The 27,853-nt window shown below is 40.3% G+C and overlaps 2 protein-coding genes across 9 annotated transcripts in view, besides 1 other annotated feature; both read left to right on the top strand.

The window, feature by feature from the left end:
• Nucleotides 1–18,471, top strand: part of UEVLD (UEV and lactate/malate dehyrogenase domains) — a 59,126-nt gene extending 40,655 nt beyond the window's left edge. For 3 of the 7 annotated variants that reach the window (NM_001261384.3, NM_001261382.3, NM_001040697.4), the window contains 5 exons: nt 1,030–1,200; nt 3,284–3,457; nt 11,611–11,674; nt 13,627–13,750; nt 15,593–18,471. In NM_001261384.3, the coding sequence (NP_001248313.1) occupies nt 1,030–1,200; nt 3,284–3,457; nt 11,611–11,674; nt 13,627–13,750; nt 15,593–15,760 (701 nt within the window). In that variant the 3' untranslated portion in view covers nt 15,761–18,471. The remainder of the gene's footprint in view (nt 1–1,029; nt 1,201–3,283; nt 3,458–11,610; nt 11,675–13,626; nt 13,751–15,592) is intronic. The other 4 variants (NM_001261383.3, NM_018314.6, NM_001261385.3 and 1 more) reach the window with 2 other exon arrangements.
• Nucleotides 20,869–20,978: an enhancer, noted in NCBI's record as "active region_4502". NCBI's record gives its function as "activates an Ori minimal core promoter by ATAC-STARR-seq in GM12878 lymphoblastoid cells {active_cell/tissue: GM12878}" and the evidence as "EXISTENCE:reporter gene assay evidence [ECO:0000049][PMID:35858748]".
• Nucleotides 21,138–27,853, top strand: part of TSG101 (tumor susceptibility 101) — a 46,632-nt gene continuing 39,916 nt past the window's right edge. Inside the window, exons 1-2 of one of the 2 annotated variants that reach the window (XM_005253108.5) lie at nt 21,138–21,305; nt 22,378–22,419. Coding sequence is in view for 1 of the 2 variants with exons in the window: in NM_006292.4 (NP_006283.1) it covers nt 21,264–21,305 (42 nt within the window). In the remaining variant the exon portion in view is untranslated. The remainder of the gene's footprint in view (nt 21,306–22,377; nt 22,420–27,853) is intronic. The other variant, NM_006292.4, reaches the window with a different exon arrangement.

Raw genomic sequence — 27,853 nt, 5'->3', positions numbered from 1 at the left:
TTCTGTATAAGAAAAGTCAGTTTAAAATGATCCAAGAGGCAGGTGTGGTAAAGTCTCAGCTTCTCAGGAGGCAGAAGCAGGAGGAGTACTTGAGCCCAGGAGTTTGAGTCCAGCCTGGGCAATATAGTGAGACCTTGTCTCTTTATTAAAAAAAAGCCAAGATATTTAATTTAGAGATTTTTGAACTACTCTTTAGAGTAGAATCCTTAATAAGTAAAACAGATTTTTAAAAAGCACCACTATTCTGCTTGGATAGGCCAAAGTAAGTGGCCTGGAGCTATACTTACCAGCCTTCTTCCTACTTATTTCCACTCCTCCCTGATGGCCTCTGAGTTTCTTTCAAGGAACTTTAGGGCACCTAAGCTCACAGTTTAGGAACCAATGGTGTAATTGATGGTAGGTTCATTTTGCCTATAGCATAATATTTATTTTCCTTTAAAAATTGTAATTTATATAAAAAACTCAGTTCTTGTTTGTAGGTTTTAGATCCCATAATTTATTTTGATTATTACTATTGCTATCTTCCCCCCTGGGGATACACTCTTCCTTTTTTATTGAGACAGAGTCTCACTCTGTCACGAGACTCTGGAGTGCAATGGCGAGATCTCAGCTCACTGAACCTCCACCTCCTGGGTTCAACTGAATCTCTGCCTCAGCCTCCTGAGTAGCTGAGACTACAGTCACACACCACCATGCCTGGCTAATTTTTATATTTTAGTAGAGACAGGGTTTCACCATGTTGGGCAGGCTGGTCTTGAACTCCTGGCCTCAAGTGATCCACCAGCCTCAGCCTCCCAAAGTGCTGGGATTACAGGCATGAGCCACCACACCCAGTCAACACTTACTCTTAATCCTCTTTTTGGAGGCAAACCTCCGCATTTTATATGCTTTTGTGGATCTGGGGTTGATTTATGGGGAGGCGTGCCTAAAAGCTCTCTTATTTGTTGAAAAGAACAACCTTTTAATCGTGAACTAGAACTTGATTAAAGCCTGTATCTTCAGCTCAGACTGTTTCTTTTCATTCACTAGATTTGTCTGCCTCTGCTCATTCCAAGGTGGTGATCTTCACAGTCAACTCTTTGGGTAGTTCTCAGTCGTACCTTGATGTGGTACAGAGCAATGTGGATATGTTCAGAGCCCTTGTCCCAGCTCTGGGACATTATAGTCAACACAGTGTCCTGCTCGTTGCATCTCAACCAGGTAAAATGCTTTATTTTAAATTAAGTTGATGGTCCAGTACATCAGTAGAATTGCCATTACTGATAAAAACCATAAAACTTTAGGGCCTGGCACAGTGGCTCACACCAGTAATCCCAACACTGGGAGTCTGAGGCGGGCGGATCACCTGAGGTCAGGAGTTCCAGACCATCCTGACCAACATGGTGAAACCCCGTCTCTACCAAAAATACAAAAGTTAGCCAGGCATGGTGGCGGGTGCCTGTAATCCCGGCTACTTGGAAGGCTGAGGTGGGAGAATTGCTTGAACCCCGGAGATGGTGGTTGCAGTGAGGCCAAGATGGTGTCACTGAACCCCAGTCTGGCCGACAGAGTGAGACTCTCTCAAAAAAAAAAAACAAAAACAAAATAAAAAACAAAACAAAAAAAGCCTTTAAATTATAAAGAGATGGCTAGAATATTCAGCAAAATTGCCTATATAATAAACAGTGTAATATTCTGGCAACCAGTTACTTGTTATGACTAACATTATCTAGAAGGTTCCAGCATACAATTTTTTAATGAAATATGATATTATGTTCTAGGTTCTAAGCCATACCTTCCTCAGTGAGAAGATGTTTAAACTCCCAAGAGAAAAATGCAATGACTTATATGCATGATATTTTGTTAATTCTGAAGTATCAAAAATGTTAGCATGCCAGAGTGCATTTTTAACATTTTGTATTTTGCAGGTTGTTTTGGAACTGTCGTACTCAAAAATAGAAATATTTTCAAAGAGTTAGTTTGTACTGGGCTCAAATTGGTGAACAGATTTTTTTTAAATGTTCCCAATGTAGAGGTATTGTATGCATTTCAGTTGTTTTTTTGTAGTAATTTGTTGAGGGACATTGATCTCTTTAATTCTCGACATGCTTTTGGAATGTAAGAAAAAAGTAGTTGTGTTTTCATTCATAATGCGACACTGAATCATGGTGGCATATGAATCAGTATTTTAATTTAAAGATAGAAATTCAGTTTAAGATAGATAGATGTAAAAGAAAACTCGATCAATAAGAAGAAATTATTTTTTAGTTTTTTGTACCAGTTTTTATCCTCACTTAACTGTTCTAGGAATTATCTATTTTCTACCCCTGACAATTTATATTTAACAATAAAATTTGACCAGGCACGGTGGCTCACGCCTGTAATCACAGCACTTTGGGAGGCCGAGGCAGGTGGATCACCTGAGGTCAGGAGTTTGAGACCAGCCTGGCCAACATGGTGAAACCCTGCCTCTATTAAAAATACAAAAAATAGCCAAGTGTGGTGGTGCACACCTGTAATCCCAGCTACTAGGGAGACTAAGGTAGGAGAATCCCTTGAACCTGGGAGGCAGAGGTTGCAGTGAGCCCAGGTCATGCCACTGCACTCCAGCCTGGGGGACAGAGCAAGACTCCATCTCAAAAAACAAACAAACAAACAAACAAAACACAGTAAAATGTATCTTGTTGAAACCTTGTTAGTGTTTCTAATGTACATTAAAAATATGTTATGGGCTGGGCGCGGTGGCTCACACCTGTAATCCCAGCACTTTGGGAGGCCGAGGCAAGTGGATCATGAGGTCAAGAGATCGAGACCATCCTGGCCAACATGGTGAAACCCCGTCTCTACCAAAAATACAAAAATTAACTGGGCATGGTGGCAGGTGCCTATAGTCCCAGCTACTCGGGAGGCTGAGGCAGGAGAATTGCTGGAACCCGGGAGGCAGAGGTTGCAGTGAGCCGAGATCGTGCCACTGCACTCCAGCCTGGGCGATAGAGCGACACTCCATCTCAAAAAAAAAAAAAAAATATAGATATAGATATAGATATAGATATAGATAGATATACACACACATATATACACGTATATATACATACGTGTATATATATGTGTGTATGTATGTGTGTATTATATGTGTATATATATAGTATATATATGTATATATGTGTGTGTGTATATATATACATATAATGCCTCAGTGCATTGAGGACCTAATATACTTATTAAAATAATAAATATTTGTGAGCTAGGCTAGAAGTATATATTTTTTAACCTTTACATTTTTTACCTTGTATGCAATATTTAGTGGAAATCATGACCTATGTAACATGGAAACTGAGTACATTTCCTGCAAATCGAGTGATCGGAATTGGATGTAATCTGGATTCACAGAGATTACAGTATATTATTACAAATGTTTTGAAGGCACAGACTTCAGGCAAAGAAGTATGGGTTATTGGCGAGCAAGGAGAAGACAAAGGTAAGAAGTACGTTTTTAGGCTGGGTGTGGTGGCTCATGCCTGTAATTCCAACACTTTGGGAGGCCAAGGCAGGATTGCTTGAAGCCAGGACTTCAAGACCAGCCTGGGCAACATAGCAAGACCCCATCTCTACAAAAAGATAAAAAATTAGCCAGGCACGGTAGTGCATGCCTGTAGTCCCAGTTACTCAGGAGACTGAGTGGGAGGATCACTTGAGCCCGGGAGGTCAAGGCTGCAGTGAGCCATGATCGCAGCACTGCATTCAAGCCTGGGTGACAGGGTGAAACCCCATCGCTAAAAAAAGAAGTACATTATTATTAGTTACAACCAAAATTGCCAGTGGTCATGGCATTCACATATATCTGAGGACTCCAGAATTGTGGGCTTAATTGGCTTTGTTCCACATTTGAGTGTGCCTTCTGTATAACAGGCCCTATATTGTGAATAAATTCCTCATATGTGTCATTCTCGTTGTAATTACTTTTCTGTAAGTTTAAGGTTAGACAAGACCGCTTAGTAGGATTTTATATTTTTAAATTGAATTTCAGAGTTCAGGATCAATTTAAAAATTTAATTTTCCAGAAAGAAACATTTAAATAAACCTTAAAGCATATATAGAACTCTTTCCTTTACTCTTCCCACCCTTCAACCTTGCTTACCTTTCCCAAGTTCAGACCTTCTCCCTAGATACATGCCTTCTGTCTGCTTCTTTTTAAACAGAGTTTTCACTCATTGTTTATCCCTATGGCCTTTTTCTCCAGCCACTTGCTCTTTCCCACAGAAGGCATTCAGTTTCCTGTATTGGAAAGCTCCTTTTCCTATTTCAAAAGAATGCTTTCCCTATTTAACTTGAGAATCTCTTCCCTTACTCTTTTATTGTTTCTCTCTTGCTATAAAGCCAGGTTGGTCAGTGATTTAAGTGCTGTTCACCCTGATTTTGTTCATTTAAGTATATGAGTAAAATAAAGATAATAGTATACTATTAGAGTAAGTGCCAAAGTGAGTACTATACACTTACAGTGCTTAGATACTTATGAGTGAGCATTTAACATGGGCTGAAATGACTAGAGAAAATTCTATAAAGGCCATCTGGAGTTTGAACTGGAGTTTGGACGAATGAATAGGATTTTAATAGATAGTGAACAATAGGAAAAACACTCCAGGAATGGGAAATCAGAATTAGGCAAAAGCACGAAGTTAAGTATGGCATGTTCATGGGATAAAAAATGTGGACTAGTTGTTGCAGAAGGTTTCAATGAGATAAATCTAATTGAAATTACATTTTGAAGATCTGTGAATACCCGATCGAAGAGCTGGAAAGTGATCTGGGGAAAATTAGTCATTACTTCATCATTTGAAGTACTTACTGTTAACTTCACTCAGCATGTAAGTGCTGCAAGGTAGAGCATGATATAGAAAATAACCTCTCTGGGCTGGGTGTGGTGGCTCACGCCTGTAGTCCCAGCACTTTGGGAGGCCAAGGTGGATGGATCACAAGCTCAGGAGATCGAGACCATCCTGGCCAACATGGTGAAACCCCGTCTCTACTAAAAATACAAAAATTAGCTAGGCATGGCAGCACGTGCCTGTAGTCCCAGCTACTCAGGAGGCTGAGGCAGGAGAACTGCTTGAACCCAGGAGGCGGAGGCTGCAGTGAGCCGAGATCACACCACTGCACTCCAGTCTGGGCGACAGAGTGAGACTTAGTCTCAAAGAAAAAAAAAAAAAAAAGAAAAGAAAAGAAAATAACTCCTCTGCCGGTGAGGAGGTAATAATTTAATTGAAGAGTTAGAGAAAGACCATGCACATTAAAAAGTTAAATAGATGTCAAACCATATTTCCACAAAGCAAATCACCCTCTCAAAACTATTTCCTTGGAATTTAAAGTGTCATCTATACTTTGATGCCATTAAAATAAAATATTAACATTGATGATATCTAGGTTAGAGGTAACTTTTAAAAATTTATAGTTTTCTGTGTAGTAAAAATATGTAGTATTTATATAATTTTTAAGAAAAGCATTTTAATAAAATATAACAGTATTTTAAATCTGTAAAAATCTGCACTGGCTACTAGAAGGCTCAGTGCTAGAATGAGTCAGGCTATACAATAAACCCTTAAAAAACCCGACAGCATGACTGAGCAAAAATACTTTTGAGGCTCCAAATGCTCCCTGACACTACACACTAATCAACAGGACCCTGGAAAAGGGTAGCAAACAAGAACTTGGAGCAAATGTATTCAAGTAATGAATGTCTCCATTCATTCATTACTTGAATACATTTGAAATTCATGGCTCATTCAAACTCAAAACCCAACATAGACCAAACCCTCTGGTCCATGTTGATCTCTTGCTTGCCTGGTTATTGCACATCTCATGGTTAGTTTGCCTCTTCCCCTCTAGTCTACCCGGTAAATGATGTGAAAATAATAATAATATTACTCAAAACTTATAGAATGTTTATTGTGTGCTCTCACATATTAATTCAATCTTCCTAAAACATGTTATTATTTTCAAAAACTTTCAGAGGCTTCCTCTGACCAAACCATTAAATTGCATTGCTTGGCACTCAGGGACCCCCAAAATATAACCCTAATCTTTCTTCCCAATTATAGTTAGGGAGATAGCCACGTTATTAGAGAGCTGGAAGGGACCATCTATTACATTTTGTTTTAGGGAGCCAGTGAATGCAGGCATTGTAAAAGTGACCTGCGTGGAAGCCTACAGCTTTTAGGGTCAAAGGACTAGCACCCAGGTCTTGTGTCTCCCAGGCCCACCCCACAGCTTTGCCACAGGGACATTTACTCACTTTGTTTACCTCCCTTGTAATCCCTTTGCCTTCTCGGCCATCTTATTGACATCTTTCAAGGTCTAAGTCAAGCATCCCTTATATGATAAAGGTTTTTTCCTGATCACATCACTTCACAGTGATTTCTTCACTCCTTTGAGCTAAAGCTATTTCAATCTATAAGGTAATAAACTACATCTTGTCTCATCATGTTACTTTTGTTGTCCTGCTGCTTGTTCTTATCTGATTTTTGTGTGTGACCTTCTCCTTATTTAAAGTGCAAATTATTAAGTTATTTTAGTTGAAAATGTAGTACATTCACACTGGAAAAATAAGTACAAAAAGATATGCAGTGAAAAGTCTCCCTTAGATGCCAGACACTCAATCCTTCTTCCTAGGGACAATCACAGTTATCAGTCTCTTTTATAATCTTCCAGAAATATTCTGTGTATAGACAAGCACACATGTGAAATAGACATCATACATCATTCTCCACCTCGCCCTTTTACTTACCAATGATTATGGAATGATTGCACAGTAACATAGAGCTCATTCATTCTTTTTAACTACTGGATATACCATAATTTACTTAACCAGCCTCTCTAATTTACAAGTTTTGAGGAATAGTTGATATACAATAAATATTGAATGAGTAAGAATGTTTGAAATATGGTTGTATTAATTTCTTAAGTCTCATAAAGAGAAAATACAGGCTGATGTGATGTGATAAATATACCACTTACCCTAACCTAGTATATCTGGGTGAAGGAAAAAAACAATCTAATAGAAGTTAATTGTGAGCTCTTCAGAGGAACAATTTAAAACCTACCAAAAAGCAGTTTGTATTTGATTAAATGACCTTTTATCCCAAATGTAGGAATTTATTTTCAGAAACATTTATTGGCCACCTGCTTTGCTCAATAAACACTGTGTTGATTGCTGTTAGAACTATATAGATGTGTAAGAACCTGACCCTGTCTTTAGGAAACTTTGAGTCTAATACTGGAAATGACTGGAAGGCTGTACTCTGAGAGAGGTCCAAGGGAAGTAGGATAAAACCACAGGGAAGAGATGTGGTAATTCTGTCTTGAGGTCTCAAATTGGAACTAGAAATAGAGAGATGTAGGTGCATGCAAATTGAGATCACATAAATGTAGTATTATGTAATATTTGACACACATAATGCCAGTGTTAAAACATAACTGAGCACGTATGAATCCATACTCAATCAAGAACATTACTGATACTGAAGTTAACTATGTAGTTCTCCCCAGTCTATCTCCCTGTCTGCCTTCTAGAAGTACCATCTGATCACTTTTTATTCTGTCTTCTACTCTTCTTGAAGAGCTAGTTATATCCATGGATAGGTATATTTACCTTGGTCCTGGTATCAGAAATGGATTAGAAGCTCCCTCTGCTGGTTTCATGTATAGATACCAACTGTTTAGACTTTTGCATAAGTGATACCATCACAGTAACTGCAATTATAATTATTTTTTATTGTACCTACTATGTGTATTAAATATTTTGCATATCTCATTTAAATTTTATAAACACTCTGTGAAGGAGGTAGTGGTTTTCCAGATTTATGTATGAGGAAACTTAAGGCTCAATGAGATAAGTAATTTGCCCAAGGTTACATATCTGTGAAGGGCAGAACTGAGATTTGAACCCTGATCTGACTCTGAAGCTGTGCTCTTCCTTGCTGTCACTTAAGATAATGTATCTAGAGCATTTAGTACAGTATCTGGCACACAGCAAACGCTCAGCAAATGGTAGCTATTATTACAGTGATTGGCAAGATGGTGATGAATAGAAAATTGGCAAAAAACATGTAAAATAACTCTTTGAAGTAAAGCAACATTAGGATTTGGAAACAGATATAAGAGTAACAATTGTGTAAATAAAATATCCTCTTCAAGTATTTCAGAGACAAGTGACAGCTACAGCCTAGGGAGGAATCACATGACATACAAGACCTTTAGGTCTATTTCCTGCTTCATCGTCTCCCATTCTCCCAGGCATTCTATGCTAGTCAGGTGGTTGACTTGCAGTTTACTGAATGGTTTATGCACTCTCATGCCTCCTTAACTTAGCAACTGCTGCTTCCTTTCCCTGAACTCGTTCACTTGGCTAACTCCTGCTTACCCTTTAGGATTGGGCTTGAGTGCCACCTCTCCCAGGAAGCCTTCCTTAATTTGCCAAGTTAAGTAAGTTCATACAAATAATGTAACAAATTTTTAAAGAAAGTAATCCACCTATTACCCTTTTATCTAAGTAAAACATTCATGCCAAAACACAATTTTCAAAACATCCCGCCCAATGTAACAAATTTTTAAAGTAATCCACCTATCACCCTTCTATCTAAGTAAAACATTTTAAAAATCCCTTAAGTTGTCCATATGTATTTATATTTTTCATATAACAGTTCATGGTTTTGTGTTTTTTTCTTATACAAAAACTTTTGGCTGGGTGCAGTGGCTCATGCCTATAATCCTAGCACTTTGGGAGACCGAGGCGGGTGGATCACAAGGTCAGGAGATCGAGACCAGCCTGGCCAACGTGGTGAAGCCCTGTCTCTACTAAAAATACAAATTAGCCGGGCGGGTGGCTGGCGTCTGTAGTCCCAGCTACTCGGGAGGCTGAGGCAGGAGAATTGTTTGAACCTGGGAGGTGGTGCAGTGAGCCGAGATTGCACCACTGCACTCCAGCCTGGGCAACAGAGCGAGACTGTCTCAAAAAAAAAAAAAAAAAAAAACTTATAAAACTTTTTCTGTTTTTCTTTTTCTTTTTTGGGGGGGTTGGGGACAGAGTCTCGCTCTGTTGCCAGGCTGGAGCACAGTGGCACGGTCTCGGCTCACTGCAACCTCCGCCTCCTGGGTTCAAGCGATTTTCCTGCCTCAGCCTCCAAGTAGCTGGGATTACCGGCATGCGCCACCACGCCTGGCTAATTTTTGTATTTTTAGTAGAGATGGGGGTTTCACCATGGTGGCCAGGCTGGTCTCGAACTCCTGACCTTATGATCCACCCGCCTCGGCCTCCCAAAGTGCTGGGATTACTGGCGTGAGCCACCACGCCCGGCCCTTTTTCTGTTTTTCAACTTAACTATGGCAAGTATGTTTTCCCCTTTGTTACCAAATATAATTATGAATCATGCGAGAGGTTTTGTATTTTCCTCGATTGTGTACCCAACACCATGGTAAAGAATACGTGCAAGAGGTGCCAGCCATGGTGGTTCACAGCTGTAATCCCAGCACTTTGGGAGGCCAAGGCGGGTGGATCACTTGAGGTCAGGAGTTTGAGACCAGCCTGCCCAACATGGTGAAAACCCGTCTCTACTAAAAATACAAAATTACCCGGGCGTGGGGGTGCACACCTGTGATCCCAGCTACTTGGGAGTCTGAGGCGCACACCTGTAATCCCAGCTACTTGGGAGGCTGAGGCAATAGAATCGCTTGAACCTGGGAGACGGAGGTTGCAGTGAGCCGAGATGGTGCCACTGCAATCCATCCTGGGTCACAGTGAGACTCCGTCTCCAAAAAAAAAAAAAAAGAATATGTGCAAGAGAACACAAAAGAATAATACATGGTCCCTGCACTCTGGGAGCTTATAATCAGTTTGAGGAAGGGAGGCATCTGGATACATATGGGGTCCTTTGTTGCTGACACATGACTAAGTGGTCTAATTTTGAATGTAGTTTAGAATTCTTGTATCTTAAACATATTATTCTATAGCCACAAGTATTTTTGTTTTGCCTACTCAAATATGTACAGATTTGTACCAAACAATCTCTTCACACAGATGAGAAACAGGTGAACATTGGAAAGGTTTCAAAATGTTACTGGCAACTTCAATTTAATATTAAAGTGCAGTTCGGCTCAGTGGCTTACGCCTGTAATCCCAGCACTTTGGGAGGCCAAGGCAGGCAGATCACCTGAGGTAAGGAGTTCAAGACCAGCCTGGCCAACATGGTGAAATCCTGTCTCTACTAAAAATACAAAAATTAGCCTGGTGTGGTGGCAGGCACCTGTAATCCCAGCTAGTTGGGAGGCTGAGGTAGAATAATTGCTTGAACCCAGGAGGCAGAGGTTGTAGTGAGCTGAGAGTGTGCCACTGCACTCCACCCTAGGTGACAAAGTAAGACTGTGTATCAAATAATAATAATAATAATAATATTAAAGTGTGATATAAATTTCTAGTCTGGCCAGGCGCAGTGGCTCACACCTGTAATCCTAGCACTTTGGGAGGCCAAGGTGGGTGAATCACCTGAGGTCAGGAGTTCGAGACCTGCCTGGCTAACATGGCAAAATCCCATCTCTACTAAAAATACAAAAATTAGCCAGGTGTGGTGGCGGGTGCCTGTAGTCCCAGCTACTCAGGAGGCTGAGGCAGGAGAATTGTTTGAACCGGGAGGCGGAGGTTGCAGTGAGCCAAGATCACACCATTGCACACCAGGCTAGGTAACAGCGAGAGTCCGTCTCAAAAAGAAAAAGAAAAAAAAAAAAAAATATATATATATATAAAGAAATTTCCAGTCTGTGTATGCAGCTTTGAAGTTTTGAATTGTTTTTGTAAATGATGTAGTAAAAGGAAATGGGTAACCCAGAAGATTCTTTTAGAAAACAGGACCCTGGTGCTGGGTGTGGTGGCTCAAGCCTGTAATCCTAGCACTTTGGGAGGCCGAAGCAGGTGGATTACGAGGTCAGGAGTTCAAGACCAGCCTGGCCAACATGGTGAACCCTGTCTCTACTAAACACACACACACAAAAATTAGCAGGGCATGGTGGCATGTGCCTGTAGTACCAGCTACTCGGGAGGCTGAGGCGTGAGAATTGCGTGAACCCGGGAGGCAGAGGTTGCAGTGAGCCAAGATCATGCCACTGCACTACAGCCTGGGCGACAGAGCAAGACTCCATCTGAAAAAAAAAAAAAAAAAAGGAACAGGATTCTCTGCCTCTGTAACAGCTGTGGAAATTCTAGCCCAAAATAGGTGACCAGATTATTCCCTACCTGGTGAAATTAGTCTCAGTGCATTTCTCAGCAGAACAAATGTCAAGTGCTTATAGGTTTCTACTTAGATAGTAAAATGGCCCTTGCAGAACTGTTACTGATGAGAGAAAACAGGTAAGGAGACTGCAAGCAGACTTTGGGGATCATGTTTTTTGTAGTTCAGAGTTTTCCTCACCTCGGGCTAGTGGTACAGCACATTCATTGTTATCCAGTGGAAAAATCTAACTTGCTAGAAATGAGAAAACTTCTATATAAATATTAGCACAGGTACCCTTGACTCCAAAAGATCTGTTATCACATCTTAATCCAAAGAGTCACTGGCAAAACATAATTAATTCTTCATCTAATTTTAGTGCTCACATGGAGTGGCCAAGAAGAAGTAGTGAGTCATACCTCTCAAGTGCAGCTGTCCAACAGGTAACACTGACTGGAAATTTGCATTTATCCAACGAAAAATCATTTACTTCATAGCTAACAGCTATTTATACAGTATGTACTTAACCAGGCTTCTGGAAACAAAACTAATATGGACAAACCCAAAAGTATAAAGGAGCAGTGTTTTATATTCTTTGATTTCTTATCTGAAGGTAGATCTAAGAGTGCTTTGCAAGCTTTTTCAGATAACACAGTTGACATTTAAATGGTAAAACATGTTATTTGTAGACAGTGATTTACTGCTTCTCTACCTAAACATCTGAGCCCCACTCTGTCACCAGGCTGGAGTGCAGTGGCGCGATCTCGGCTCACTGCAGCCTCCGCCTCCCGGGTTCAAGCGATTCCCCTGCCTCAGTGTCCCAAGTAGCTGGAATTACAGGCATGCGCCACCATGCCCAGTAATTTTTTGTATTTTAGTAGAGACGGGGTTTCACCATGTTGGTCAGGATGGTCTTGATCTCCTGACCACATGATCCACCCGCCTTGGCCTCCCAAAGTGCCGGGATTACAGGTGTGAGCCACCGTGCCAGGCCAACAATTTTCTTAATGTAGAAGATAATTTGTCCACACCACTTAAAAATGAATATCTATTAATCACACACAAATAGAACTGGAAATCAGTCTAATATGAATGGATAAGCCATATTATATGTTCAGGCAAAAAAAAAAGTGTAACACACAGATCCTTGTATCTTTTGCTTTTATCCAGAGGCCTTCCAGGGGTCTGTACCGCATAGGCAGGACTCTACACAGAATTTATACTCATGGCATTTGTTGTTTCACCGTCATATAACATTTTCCTGAAGTCTGAGAGGTGGTGATCTTTAGCTTTCAAAGCCATCAGCTTATGACTTTTAGAATATAACAACTGGAAAAAGTGTTCTCTTTCTTGAGAAGATTAGTGTATGGTATAATTCATTCTAATCTGATTATACAATCCTGCATTTATACTTTTTAAAAGGAAGAAATTTAAGTGTTTATGTATTTTTATCATTTATAAAAGAATGTATGCTTATTATAAAACTTCAGATACTGCAGATATCTATAAAATATTAAAAGAAAAAGCTAAGGTAATTCCATTTTTCAGAGACAACCATTTTTAACAATTTAGTGTCCACATGTCCAAAAAATTTTTTTTCTACTCAGGAGGCTGAAATGGGAGGATCAGTTGAGCCCAGGAGTTTGAGACCAGCTTGGACAACACAGAGACCCTGTCTCTAAAAAGAAAAAATTGTTTTTCAATGCTTCTACAAATGTATAATAATATAGATTTATGCTATCCATACTATCTTGCAACTTCATTTCTTTCCTTAATGATGAAATCTCAGACATTTTTGCACATTGTACATGTAAATCTACCTTATTCTTCTCAAAAGCTACATGGTACTACGCTTGGTAGTGATTTAACCAGTCCTCTTTTGATGAGTTGTTTCCAAATATTGCAGACATGCTTATTATGTACATCTTTGCACACTTGAGCATACTGCTGTAAGATAAATGCCTAGAAGAGGAATTTCTAGATCAGACGTTACCAAATCTTCTTCTTAAAAGGTTAGATCACTTTACATTCTCAATAGCAGTTATGAGAATGCCTGTTTACAGTTTCTCCAAATTAGTTATCAGTCTTTTTAATTTTTGCCAATTATCGATAGGCAAATTGGTATTTATTGTTTTAATTCATATTGGTTAAATATCAATGGCAGTGAACATTTTTTATGTTATTAGGCCATTTGTATTTTCTTTGAACTGCCTATCTGACATCTTAGGAAAAGTTTAAATAAACATTAGATTAGATTATCTATAGGCTTCCCTAACAATTGCTGCATAACTCTTGTTTCTGTCATAGAAACATCTAATTAATACCTTAGCCAGAATGTAAAACTAAATGTGCATATTTTATGCATTTTCTGAGATCACGTATTTTTGTAACCTAGAGCCATGGAACTGCTAAGAGTAAAAGGTCAAAGATCCTGGTCTGTTGGACTATCAGTAGCTGACATGGTTGACAGTATTGTAAACAATAAGAAGAAAGTGCATTCTGTATCAGCTTTAGCAAAGGTAATTGCTATTCTTATTCTCTTATTATATTTTAAACTTAGATATTATTAATACAAAACTAACAAAATCATTATTCATACTCTAACCCCAGGTGTCTTCAGTATCACCAGCTTTTAGAGTAACAGGTAGGAGAAGGCAGTTTAGTTTAAGCCCTATCCTGCTTAGCTATGAGAAGTCTGCCAGCTTGGGCAACATAGTGAGACCCCAACTTTACAAAAACAAAAACAAAACTTTGCCAGGCATGTGACAACCACTCAGTAGGCTGAGGTGGGAAAATCTCTTGAGCCTGGGAGGTTGAGGCTGCAGTGAGCCATGATCATGTCACTGGACTCCAGCATGGACAACACAGCGAATCCCTGTCTCCAAAGATAACATTTTGACTGGGGGCAGTGGCTCACGCCTGTAATCCCAGCACTCGGAGGCCGAGGCAGGTGGATCACTTGAGGTTAGGAGTTTGAGACCAGCCTGGCTAACATGGTGAAACCCCTCTCTACTAAAAATACAAAAATTAGCCAGACATAGTGGCGTATGTCTGTAATCCCAGCTACTCGGGAGGCGGAGGTTGCAGTGAGCACCTCTGCAACTCCAGCCTGGGTGACACAGCGAGACTCAGTCTCGAAAACAAACAAACAAAAAAAGTGTGGACTTCTATCAGGTTGCCTTCTCACCCTCATGTGATTTTTGGTAACCCCCAAATAGTGTTTATATATCCATAAATTTCTTCTTACTGTCATTTATCATCTCAGCCAGCCAAGTCACCCCAGATTTATGTGCCAGAAAGACAAATATCACATATTCTTACTCATGTAACCCCCAAATAGTGTTTATATATCCATAAATTTCTTCTGACTGTCATTTATCATCTCAGCCAGCCAAGTCACCCCAGATTTATGTGCCAGAAAGACAAATATCACATATTCTCACTCACGTGGGAGCTTTTTTTTTTTTTTTTAAAGTTGATCTCATGGAGGTAGAGAGTAGAGTGTTGGTTACCACAGGCTGCGGTTGGGGGATAGAATGAAAAGCAGTTGGTTAATGGGTACAAAAATAGATAGGAATAAATTCTAGTGTTCAACAGCACAGTAGGGTGAGTGTGATTATTAATAATTTATTGTACATTTCAAAACAGCTAGAAGAAGCTGGGTGTGGTGGCCCATGCCTGTAATCCCAGCACTTTGGGAGGCCAAGGTGGGAGGATCACTTGAGCTTAGGAGTTCAAGATCAGCTTGGGCAATATAGAGAGACCTCATCTCAAAAAAAAAAAAAAGAAAAGAAAAGAAAAGAAAAAATAGCCAGAAGAGACCATTTGGAATGTTTTCAACACAAATAAATGATAAATGTTTGAGGTGATGGATAGCCCCATTACCCTGATTTGATCATTACATGTTATATGCATATATTGAAATATCACATGTACCCCACAAATACACACTCTTATGGTACCAGTTGTTTTATTTTTTAAAGAAGCTATTGTCATGACTGTGCCCAGAGACCATCCCATGCCCCTCCCCAGGAAATACATTCTTAACTATCTTTTTTCTTAGCCCCCAACCTCCTACCCATATTGCAGGGGGGGCTAGCTTGCTTCTCTACAAAGTGGGTGTCTGACCAAGTTGCTTCCATCTCTCAAAAATTTTCTGAAATGATAACAAGTTTATAGAATCAATGAATGATTGTGAGGTCTGGACTTCTAAAAATAAAATAAGTAAATGAACAAAAAAATTTTTTTAAGTCCAACTTGTATCACTTTGTCCTAGTTAAGAAAGCAAGAAAGTATGCATTTTTGTATTAACTTCTTTGCAATGATTTAGTTCTATTAAATCCCTATTTTTCTCATTTCAGGGATATTATGATATAAATAGTGAAGTGTTTTTAAGTTTGCCTTGCATCCTTGGAACCAATGGAGTATCTGAAGTTATCAAAACCACACTGAAAGAAGATACAGTTACTGAGAAACTCCAAAGCAGTGCATCCTCAATCCACAGTCTCCAACAACAGTTAAAACTTTGATTCTCAAATGCAATTTGAGAGGCTGGACTTCTACCTAAAGGGAAAAGTCATTTAATTTTACCTATATATAGGTTTGAGGATTTCTGTATCCTGCTACTTACTTTTACAAACTGCTTGGTTAAAGTAGAGGGTTTCTTGATTAGCTTTGTGATGTAAATCCTTAAGGAGTTATACAAGGAGGGGAAAAATTAATTTTATTTGGGGTTCTTGAGATATCTATGCTGTTCTTTAAATCTACAGCAGGGGTAAACATTCATCTGCAGTGTGCATCAATTTAAATCATATATCCTAAACTAAAAGCACAATTCATACTTCGGGAATATTTTATAAGTAATATATCTTTAAAAGAAAATTACCCTTTGACTTTTATAATCAACATAAGTTCCAGGCCCAGTATGGATTTACAAAATCTGTGTCAGTTGTACATTCACAGGATCCACAGCTTAAGTTACTAATGTTTCTTGTGTAAAATCCTGTTGGTAGTAATAGTAAAGCATTGTATTTCCCTTCTTCAAATTAATTACCTACCAAAAAATGGAAAAGAATTTTACATGCACTTTAAAATAGTAAAATGGAAAGTGAATTTTTAAAATATATGCATTAAAAGTTTACTTTAATTTCCAGTGGGACTTCCTTTATGAAATTTTCCATAACCTCTTCCTGGAGTATTACAAGATCTCCAACATCTCATAAACTAATTGTGATATTAGTGGAACCATAAGCAAATATATATTTTTAGTGGAAATAGATTATGAATGAAAGCCAAGCACCTTACTTTAAAGCCAAAATATGAGATTTTCATTAAAAACATTGGTCATAATAGGGAGAGGTTTTTTATTTGTTCTGAGCAAATCCTTTAACCTCTCCTGATGATACAGTTCAGAGTACACACACTTTGGTGATGGATCAAGAGCAATATTTTCTTATGTGAAAGATAGCTTATTATTACTATTGTGACATACAACTAATAGTAACAGTTAACATCAACACTTCATATATACCAGGCAGCATGATAAGCACTTTATTATTTTACTGAATCCTCACAACAGACCACTGAGGTAGGGACTATTGCCATCATCATTTTATAAAAGGAAATTGAGGTTTAGTCCTCAAGAAGTCTTGGCTATTAAGGGGCACTTATCCATACAACCTCTACTTTTTCTAGGCACTAAAAGGGGGAAAAGGCTTAATAGCCAAAATAGTTATCAAAAGACCCTAAAGCTGGGGTCCTGTACACCATGAAAGGATTACTTTCATTCTCATGTAAGGGCATGCTTTTATAAAAAACAAACATGGGCTAGGCGCAGTGACTCACGCCTGTAATCCCAGCACCTTGGGAGGCTGAGGCGGGCAGATCACGAGGTCAGGAGATTGAGATCATCCTGGCTAACATGGTGAAACCCTGTCTCTACTAAAAATACAAAAAGTTAGCCAGGCGTGGTGGCAGGTGCCTGTAGTCCCAGCTACTCGGAAGGCTGAGGCAAGAGAATGGCGTGAACCCGGTAGGTGGAGCTTGCAGTGAGCAGAGATCGCGCCACTGCACTCCAGCCTGGGCGACAGAGCAAGACTCCGTCTCAAAAAAAAAAAAAAAAAGTTTAAAAATTAGCCAGGTGTGGTGATGTGCACCTGTAGTTCCAGCTACTCAGGAGGGTGAGGCAGGAGGATCACTTGAGCCCAGAAGTTCAAGATTGCAATGAGCTATGATCATGCTACTGCACTCCAGCCTAGGCAACAGAGTGAGACCCTGTCTCTAAAAAAATAAAAATAAAGCAAGCATATAATAGGTTAATCCAGATGGAGTTAGGAGGGTTTATAAGGGCAGACACATCCTAGTAAAGAGGAAATAGGCAAACTAATGCTGTTTTAGTGTAATAAGGAATGCTTATAATGATGAACTTTAGTCATAAAGAAAAGGTGAAATTATATTCAGTAACCCATGTTAGGAAAGCAGAAAACTATTTAATATGCTTGGAAAGATTCCAACCAGAGTTAACTGAATAAAAACCTTGGACATTTGAAGAGAAAAGCATTTAGTTCTATCTAATTTCAATATGCACGTGAATTAGTTCATGTTACTCTAACAATGTATTCTTACTGTCCTTTTTTATGAAATAGGAAAGTAAAACTGAAAGAACTATTTCTTGTGTTTTTAAAACTAGCCTTTTCTAATATTTGATATCTAATTAAAGTTAGATAATATGTAATATGCTTTTGAACAATAATCTAACCAGAAAATATTGTATAATAAATTACCAAGAAATCATTACATTAATTATAAAAGGAACATGTCAATACAACAAATGTTTATTTAACACCTACTGTTACTCCAAATACTGTGTTAGAATTTGACTATTCGAAGATGAATAATAGTCTTTGCCCTCTGGAAGGCCACAATGTAGAAGTAATTCTCTGTATCAGATATTTCCTTGAGTGTTAAGTGTATTAGTAATCATGTTGTAAATCCCAGTGTAAGTCAAGAAGCAATATCACCACCACCACCTCCCTATGATTTTGTGATAATTTGGCATTTTCAATGCTTGTTAACTTTCATGTTTTCATTTTTATGAAATCATGCAGAGCTTGTTATAATTTTTAGTGGGGTTTGGATTAAAATGCTTTTTTGATGTAGCAGAAGATACATTTTTTCCCATTTTACATTGTTTTCCTTAAATATTAAGAATAATGAGTAAAATAAACTGATTTTAAAATCACCAGGAGATGCTTCATTTATTAAGTGAAACATTCAGATTAAGGAATTTTTTTCATATAATTCACACAGTACCCAGGATATTTAGTTATTTTGTGTAAAATGAAGAGACTAGATTTTATCATTTTCAAACTTTTAAAAATTATTTTTAGCAAGAAAACTTTTTAAATCTTTTTGTTTTTGAGCCAGGTTCTCACTATATTGCCCAGGCTGGACTCAAACTTTTGGGCTCAAGTAATCCTCCTGCCTCAGCCAATGGAGTAGCTGGGACTGCAGGTGCACCATCAGCTTATTTGTGTTTTCATCTGTGATAATCGGAGGATTTAAAATTCTCCACTAATATACGTGAGGATAGAAATCAAAATGCCTAATGAGTGGAAAAAAACTCATCTTTAGTGTTGAAATGGCAAGCAACTTTCAAAAGCATTTCAACTACTATTACCTTCACATTAAAAAATTAACTGATTTTGCATATTTCTAAAACCACAAAGACATTTTCCCCACACACATTCAATCCTCCATGGTTCCAATGAAATAGATAAGAAGTTAACACTTTATATTGAGGTATAGTGTTGACCCTAAAAGATTGCAAAAGACTGATAGTAAACATGCAGCAAGAAAGCTTTTTTAAACAATATATTGCTGGGCACAGTGACTCACACCTGTAATCCCAGCACTTTGGGAGGCTAAGGTGGGAGGATCACCTGAGCCCAGGAGTTCTGAGGCCAGCCTGGGCAACAAAGTAAGACCTCATCTTTACAAAGAAATTAAAAATTAGCTGGGCATGGTGGCACACGCATGTGGTCCCAATATACATGGGAGGCTGAGGCAGGAGGATCACTTGAGCCAGGGAGGTCGAGGCTGCAGTGGGCCATGTTCACATCACTGCACCATGACCTGGGCAACAAAAATATATAAATGGGCTGGGCGCAGTGGCTTACGCCTGTAATCCCAACATTCTGGCAGGCTGAGGCGGGTGGATCACCTGAGGTCAAGAGTTCCAGACCAGCCTGGCCAACATAGTGAAATCCTGTCTCTACTAAAAATACAAAAAATTAGCTGGGTGTGGTGGTGGGCACCTGTAATCCCAGCTACTCGGGAGGCTTAGGCAGGAGAATCGCTTGAACCCGGGAGGCAGAGGTTGCAGTGAGCCAAGATCACACTATCGCACTCCAGCCTGGGAAGCAAGAGCAAAACTCTGTCTCAAAAAAAAAAAAAAAAAAAAAAAAAAAAAATATATATATATATATATATATATATATATATATATGTAAAATTTATTTTAATATTTATAAATGTTGCATTTATAAAATATATAAATAATATATATTACCTGGCATTCCTCCAACTCACAAAGGTACAGTTGCTCTAATTAAAGGGACTCCTGGTTAAGCCGTGGCTTTAAGAACAGTTTGAAAACCTTCTTGCTTTTAAAAGACATAAAACAGCAAGTAAAATGGAAGGACAGACAGACCTCTAGTTTGGTTTGACTGGAGCTGTATGCTTAACTAAGGAGCTGAAAAACAGAGGCGGAGGTTGCAGTGAGCCGAGATGGTGCTACTGCACTCCAGCCTGGGCGATGGAGTGAGAGTGACTCAAAAAAAAAAAAAAAAGAAAAAGAAAAAGAAAAACAATACCTATTAATAGCCTTTATTTGTGCGTGTTAGCAACAGTTTATAATGATGCTTCCACATGCTTTCAGTTAGGCCCTCCTTGTGAATGTGACCTTCACTTAGACGCCAACTTTGAAGGGAATCAATACTACGGCCTTGTTCTCATTAGGGCTGTACTAAAATAATTGAAACTGTCACACATCATCAAACTCAAAATTTTACAATACCTTGAATGACACTGTGCTTACAAAACTGACGGTGATGTGTAATGATGACTAATGTAAGTCACCATGAAGAATTTTTATGGGAAGTAAAAATTCAATTAAGATGGAAGTACCTACCCTTGCATTGTGCAAGGCAATGAAGATCTGAAGGAAGCCTGCCTTCAAGGGCTTGGATTTTGACAGCGGACAGGTACACAAATACAGCACCAGGTAAAATACGGCCTGTATTATCATTTATGGGTGGGTACAGAGGAGAAATTCTGACTTACGGAATGATTTCCTGGAGAAGAAATTACTATCTGGCTTCTTGTGAAACAAAGGCTCTACACTTTACCCTTGCCAACGTATAGTATGAAGGTCTTTAAGCTTAAAAAAAATCATTAATTAGAGGACCACTGGGCATCATCTAAGGCAAGTGTATGACTTTAGAGTCGGGAGAAATTTGCGCCTGAGCTAGAAATGCACTAGCCTACCATTATCACAAGAGCAAGTCAGTGACAGAACAGTTCTCTGACCGCCAGTGCAGTGCCCTCCCACTTGATCAATCAGTCATTAAGGCTCACTGGCAAGCCCTTCGTACTTCTTCCCTCTCCGGCACTAGCTTCCTTAAGTCGACTCTGTGAAATACCTGCTAATCTTATCCTGAACCAGAGTTTCGACCCTCGGAACAGTCTTGCCCACATCTTTGGGACCCGATTCGTCCTGCTGATTCCGGCACTCGAGGGGCGGGTTGGTTGGAACCCACCCCACCAGGCCCCTCTCAATCCCACACGGTGTCCACCCTTGCCCGCAGGACGGCGGCCCGGAAGTGACGTAGTGGAAGCGGAAGTGGTGTAGTGGTGCCGACTTCCTGTTGTTTGAGGCCGGGTTGGGGGTGTGCGATTGTGTGGGACGGTCTGGGGCAGCCCAGCAGCGGCTGACCCTCTGCCTGCGGGGAAGGGAGTCGCCAGGCGGCCGTCATGGCGGTGTCGGAGAGCCAGCTCAAGAAAATGGTGTCCAAGGTGAGGCTGCGACGCGCTCGCCTCCCAGGGCGCGCCCACCGCTCCCTTCCGCGCCCTGTCGAGTCCGTCCCGGCCCAGCCAAGCAAGCTTCCCAGACGGGCCGGAAGCCCCGGTGCAGTCCTTAGCGACCTCCTCAGAACCCCGCCCCGAGGCGCCTGTCGCCTGGTGCGGGAATCCCCGTACGGGAGCTGGGAGGGTGGGGGACGGCGACAGTCAACAAAGGCGTGGAGCGGAGGCTACCTGACACCTGCCGCCCACCCGCCCTCCTCTCTTCCACTGAGTTTGGAGCTGTCTGTGGGGCAGTGTAGTTTTTCGTTTGTTTTTATAAACACAAACAAGGGATCATACTTAGTTGTAGATCTGAGGCAATCCTCTACTCCTGTCCCAATCTAGGGATCCTCCAGTCTTAGCCTTTCTTTTGCCGACCCGCAGAGAGTGTGGCCTTTTCAGTTTTGTATTCTCCAGAAAAGAAGCGAAAATACCAGTCCCTTACTGCCCCAGGTGAAATACATACCATTACCATTTCAGGGATTTTCTAAGAGTAACTACTTTTAAGTGTATGCTTCTTATAACGCGTATTTATTTGCTTTGAGCTTAATTTATGATCTTCACGGCTCAAGACTAGTGTTTTTTTTTTCAATTTTTAAAAAAGCAGTTAAGCATTTTGTATTTTAAAGCCATGATTTATTTATATAATTACTTCAAACGTGGCACCTCACACCAGAGTGGAATGGCTTTTGTTATGTTTTGTTGTAATTTTCCAAAACTATGTAAAATGATTGAGAGTTGAGTCTTGACCAGTTCAACGTGTTAGCTTGGGATAGTTTTGTCAAAGCAAGAATGGTAGCAATCAGCGGTTTAAGCGGTTTCAATTTTTAATAAAACACACTATTATGTGTAAAACTTTTTTAAAAACAGACTTTTTCCAGTTAAATCGCCCCCATAGTTCTTGATTGAAGACCAAATAATCTCTAAGGAGAAAATGACAGCTTTCAAAATAAAGCATATATTGGTTGTGTAATCGTATATTTTAGGCTTCTTGGTTTTGTTTTGATAAACTTGTTATCCTTAGTTATAGAAGACATATGGGAAGCCATAGAAGATTGTGACCCAGGTAAAGATCCATGTTGTAACTTTTATATATCACTTTTTGAAAAAAACGGTATATTGTTTTACATAGTATGTAACTGAAGAGTATCTGTTCCATGACTCTTTTTTTTTTTTTTTTTTTTTTAGAGTCTTGCTCTGTCACCCAGGCTGGAGTGCAGTGGCACGATCTTGGCTCACTGCAATCTCCGCCTCCCAGGTTCAAGCGATTCTCCTGCCTTAGCCTCCCAAGTAGCTGGGGATTACAGGTGCCCACCACTTCACACAGCTGATTGTTGTATTTTTAGTAGAGACGGGATTTCACCATGTTGGCCAGGCTGGTCTTAAACTCCAGACCTCAGTGATCCACCGCTTTGGCTTCCCAAAATGATGGGAATACAGGCGTGAGCCACCACACCTGGCCTCCATGACATTTTTGATCTTTAAATTGATAGCATAGTCATTAAGATTTAGTCCTTGGGCTGGGCGCAGTGGCTTACGCCTGTAATCCTAGCACTTTGGGAGGCCAAGGCGGGTGGATCACCTGAGGTCACGAGTTCAAGACCAGCCTGATCAACATGGTGAAACCCCGTCTCCTAAAATACAAAAATTAGCCGGGCATGATGGCGGGTGCCTGTAATCCCAGCCTACTCGGGAGGCTGAGATGGGAGAATCGCTTGAACCTGGGAGACGGTGGTTGCAGTGAGTCGAGATCAGGCCACTGCACTCCAGCCTGGGTGGCTGAGCAAGACTCCATCTCAAAAAAAAAAAAAAAAAGATTTATTCCTTAATGTATGTATATTCATATAAAGAGCAAGAATATTCAAATATTAGCTTATTTTTTATACCCTAATTAAGTTTCCTAAGCTTCCCTAGAGAAACCTGCCATCAAAGACAAAGGCAAGGCATGTTCAGAAGATATTTTATACCTCTACCTGCCTTCCCCTCCACCCAACCTGTGATTACTTTAGAAACAAAAACAGAGGTAGGGAAGAGGTGGGAGAGGGCATCCTACCTGCCTTTTGGTCCTTGACTCAATATCTGGAAAATTGAGACTCCTGTATGTGATTATGACGATTCTGAGCATCAGCATTAGTACTGTCCAACCTATGAATTTTAGACAGGTAAGAATAGGAAGTAAAGTAATAGAAGCAGTTGTGGGGCTCCTTCCTCCTAAAGAAGGGCTTCAAATGTTTTCCTTTCAGCTGGTGTGGTCTGATGTAAGAATTGTTAGCCAGGACCCTGAACACATAGCTAGGGTGAAGGTCATTATTGTTTTCTCTTTATCTGATTGTAGGCTCTCCACACACATCATGGTACTCTGGCCACCTGCCTTATGTTTTATGTGTTTATTATAAAAGGTCTTTTTTTCCCTTGAGCATTATCTTAGCTCCCAACTTCAACATAACTTTCAACACCTTTCTCTGTTATTTTTGCAATTAACAGATATATTTATACCAGATTAGTCCTTCTTCTTTTACAGAAACAACTTCCCACTTTAGATGTTTCATACATACAGCCACTTATATTTTTACATAGTTTATCTACAGCATTTCTAGAGGCACAGTCACTGCTAAATGAGTAGAAGAAAACTGTGGGCCTGGTGTGGTGGCTCATGCCTGTAATCCCAATACTTTGGGAGGTAGAGATGGGAGAATCCACTTGAGGCCAGGAGTTCAGGATCAGCCTGGGCAACATAGCTAGACTCTGTCTCTACAGAAAATTTAAAAATCAGCCAGACTTCGTGGCTTGCACCTGTAGTCCTAGCTACTTGAGAAGCAGAAGCAGGAGGATCACTTAAGCCCAGGAGTTCAAGGTTACAGTGAGCTATGACAGAGAACCTGTCTCAAAAAGTAAAAAATAAACATTTTAAACTATAACAAAATTGGCCAGGTGCAATGGCTCATGCCTGTAATCTCAGCACTTTGGGAGGCTGAGGTGGGCGGATCACTTGAGGTCAGGAGTTTTGGACCAGACTGGCCAAGATGGTGAAACCCCATCTCTACTAAAAATACAAAATTAGCCAGACATGGTGGCGCACGCCTGTAATCCCAGCTACTCGGGAAGCTGAGAAAGGAGAATTGCCTGAACCTGGGAGGCAGAGGTTGCAGTGAGCTGAGATCACGCCACTGCACTCCAGCCTGGGTGACAAAGCGAGAATCCATCTCAAAAACAAATAAATAAATAAAAATAATAAAATAAAGATTGATATGTCCCTCACTGTTTTAGGTTCTAGGGATGCAACAGTGAACAATCAGACAAAGAAACTGTGCTTCTGGAATTTAAATTCTTATAGAAGGCAATAAACAACTCAATAAATACATCAAGAAGTACGTTGGAAAGTGATAAGTGCTTTAGAGAAAATAAAGCAGGGAAGAAATGGGGAATGCTAGGGTGTGGAAATGGGATGAGTCACCGTTTTATATCTGATAGTAAAGAGAGGTCTTTCTGAAAAAATCTACTTGAGCTCACCTGAGAGAGGTAAAGAAACTGTGTGCTTGACATGGGGCTTACACCTGAAATCCAAACATTTTGGGAGGCGGAAGCTAGAGGATCACATTGAGGCCAGGAGTTCCAGACCAGCCTGGGCAACATAGCATGACCTTGTCTCTTCTCTACTAAAAATATAAAAAAATTAGCCAGGCGTGGTGCATACCTCTAATCCCAGCTGGTTGGGAGGCTGAGATGGGAGGATCACTTGAGCCCAGGAGTTTGAGGTTGCAGTGAGCTGTGATCACACCACTGTACTCCAGCTTGGGTGACAGAGCAAGATCCTGTCAAGAAAAAAACAAACCTGGAACAATCTGGGGTAAGAACATTTCAGAAGGAAGGAAAAACAAATGCAAAGACTCATAGACAGAAGTTTGTCATGCATGATAGAGGAACAACAAAGGAGGGTATGGTGGCTAGACTGGAGTGAGCAAGGGAGGAAAGTGGTGGTATGGGTCTAGACAGCATCAATGGTATGGGAGGTTTGGAGGGCCTTGCAGGCCATTGTAAGGACCTTGGCATTTACTTGGAGTATGATGAAAAGCCGTTGCTGTGTTTCAGCTGTTAGCAATATTACTCTAGATGCTATGCTGAGACTAGACTGTAGGGGGTTAACGATGGAGGCAGAGACACGTAAGGAGGCTGTTGCAGTAATCTAGGTGAGAGGTGCTGGTGGCTTAGACCAGGACTGTAGCTGTGGAGATTCCGGATGTATTTTGAAGGCAAAGCTAACAGGATATTTTGACAGATTTGCTGTGGATGTGAAGAAAAGAGAGGGCATCAAGGATAATGTCATGGTTTTTGGCCTGAGCACCTGGAAGGATATGTATGTATACACATATGGAAGACACTGGAGAAGTAAATTTGGGGAGAAGATGAGGAGTTCAGTTTTGGTCATGTTCAATTTGACATTTATTAGATATCCAAGGGAAATGTCAAATTGGTAATTGTATATATGTTTTCTGGAGTTCAGAGAAGAGGTTAAGATTGGAAAATTTTAATTTAAGGGTTTCAACATATAAATTAATTTTCAACCATGAGGGAGATCAAAGGAATGAGTTTAGATAGAGAAGAAGACCAAGGACTTAGCCTGTGCTCAATAATAATTGGTTAGGATAAGAGAACGAACCAGCAAAGAGACTGAGAAGGCACAGGCACAGAGTGCAGGAGAACAGTTGATGTCCTGGAAATCAAATGAAGAACATGTTTTAAGAGAAAGGGAGCTGGGCATGATGGCTCATGCCTGTAATCCCAACACTGTGGGAGGCTGAGGTGGACAGATTGCTTGAGTCTAGAAATTCAAGACTAGCCTGGGCAACATGCTAAAATCCAGCTCTATCAAAAATATACAAAAATTAGCCAAACACTGTGGCGCATACCTGTAGTCCCAGCTACTTGGAAGGCTGAGATGGGAGGATTGCTTGAGCCTGGGAGGTGGAGGTTGCAGTGAACTGAGATCACACCACCGCACTCCAGCCTGGGTGACAGCCACATGCTGTCTCAAAAAAAAAAAAAAAAAAAAAAAAAAGGAAGGGGCCAGGTGCAGTGGTTCATACCTGTAATACCAACACTTTGGAAGGCTGAGTTGAGAGGATCACTTCCAGGAGTTTGAGAACAGCTTGGGCAACATAGTGAGATCCTGTCTCTATGAAAAATTTAAAAATTATCCAGGTGTGATGGTGCATGCCTGTAGTCCCAGCTACTTGGGAGGCGGTGGTGGGAGTATCACTTGAGTCCAGGAGGTTGAGGCTGAAGTGAGCCATGATCATACCACTGCACTGTAGCCTGAGCGACAGAGTGAGACCCTATCTCAAAAAAAAAAAAAAAAAAAAAAAAAAAGGAATCAGTTTGGTCAAATATTGCTGAATCAGCTTGGTCAAATACTGCTGACAGGTGAAGTAAGACAAAGGTAGAATTGGTCATTACATATCATGTGGCAGTTATTGGTGACCTTAATGAACAATTTCAGTGAAATGCTGAGTGTAGAAGCCTAATTGGAGTGGATTTGAAGAGACCAGGTCTCTAGACGTTGAGCATCAGTGGTTGCTGATATCACAGAGATACTCAGATATATTGTGCTCCATGATGAAAAAACGTTATCCTCTATGAAGTGATCTTACCAGAGAAGAGGAGAAAAATATAAAAGCAAATTTTTTTTTTTTTTTTCCAAGACGGAGTCTAGCTCTGTCACCCAGGCTGGAGTGCAAGGGCACGATCTCGGCTCACTGCAACCTCTGCCTCCTGGGTTCAAGCGATTCTCCTGCCTCAGCCTCCTGAGTAGCTGGGATTATAGGTGCGGACCACCACGCCCAGATAATTTTTGTATTTTTAGTAGAGATGGGGTTTCACTGTGTTGGCCAGGCTGGTCTCGAACTCCTGACCTCGTGATCCGCCTGCCTCGGCCTCCCAAAATGCTAGGATTACAAGTGTAAGCCACCACGCCTGGCCGGAAATTTTGTAATCATGAAAATAACCTCTAGATCCAACTAACTCACAGAAACATATATCTATGAAACTATACTAAAGGGATACAATTAACACATTCCAAACTGTGAGAGCCTCTGTAGGACAAATGAACAAATTTCTTTAAGAAATAAATTCTAAGGAGCAAAAAAGAGATGTGCCCATCAGTTAAGTATTTTTCAGCTGAACAGTAGGTGAATAAAATGTTCAGTAAGAAGTGGGCCATACGTGCCTGTAAATCCCAACACTTTGGGAGCCTGAGGCAGGAGGATTGCTTGAGGTCAGGAGTTGGAGACCAGCCTGGGCAACATAGCAAGACCCTGTCTTTACAAAAATAAAAATAAATTAGCTGGGCATGATGGCACATGCCTGTAGTTCTGTATACTTGGGAGGCTGAGGCAGGAGAATCACTTGAGCCCAGGAGTTCGAGGTTACAGTGAGCTGTGATTGTGCCACTCTACTTCATCCTGGGCGACAGAGCGAGACCCTGTCTCCAAAATAAATAAAAG

This window comes from Homo sapiens, chromosome 11 (assembly GCF_000001405.40).
Source record: "Homo sapiens chromosome 11, GRCh38.p14 Primary Assembly".
Lineage (NCBI taxonomy): Eukaryota > Metazoa > Chordata > Mammalia > Primates > Hominidae > Homo > Homo sapiens.
The sequence above is the reverse complement of the archived record's forward strand: the minus strand, read 5'-3'. Positions and strand labels throughout refer to the sequence as shown.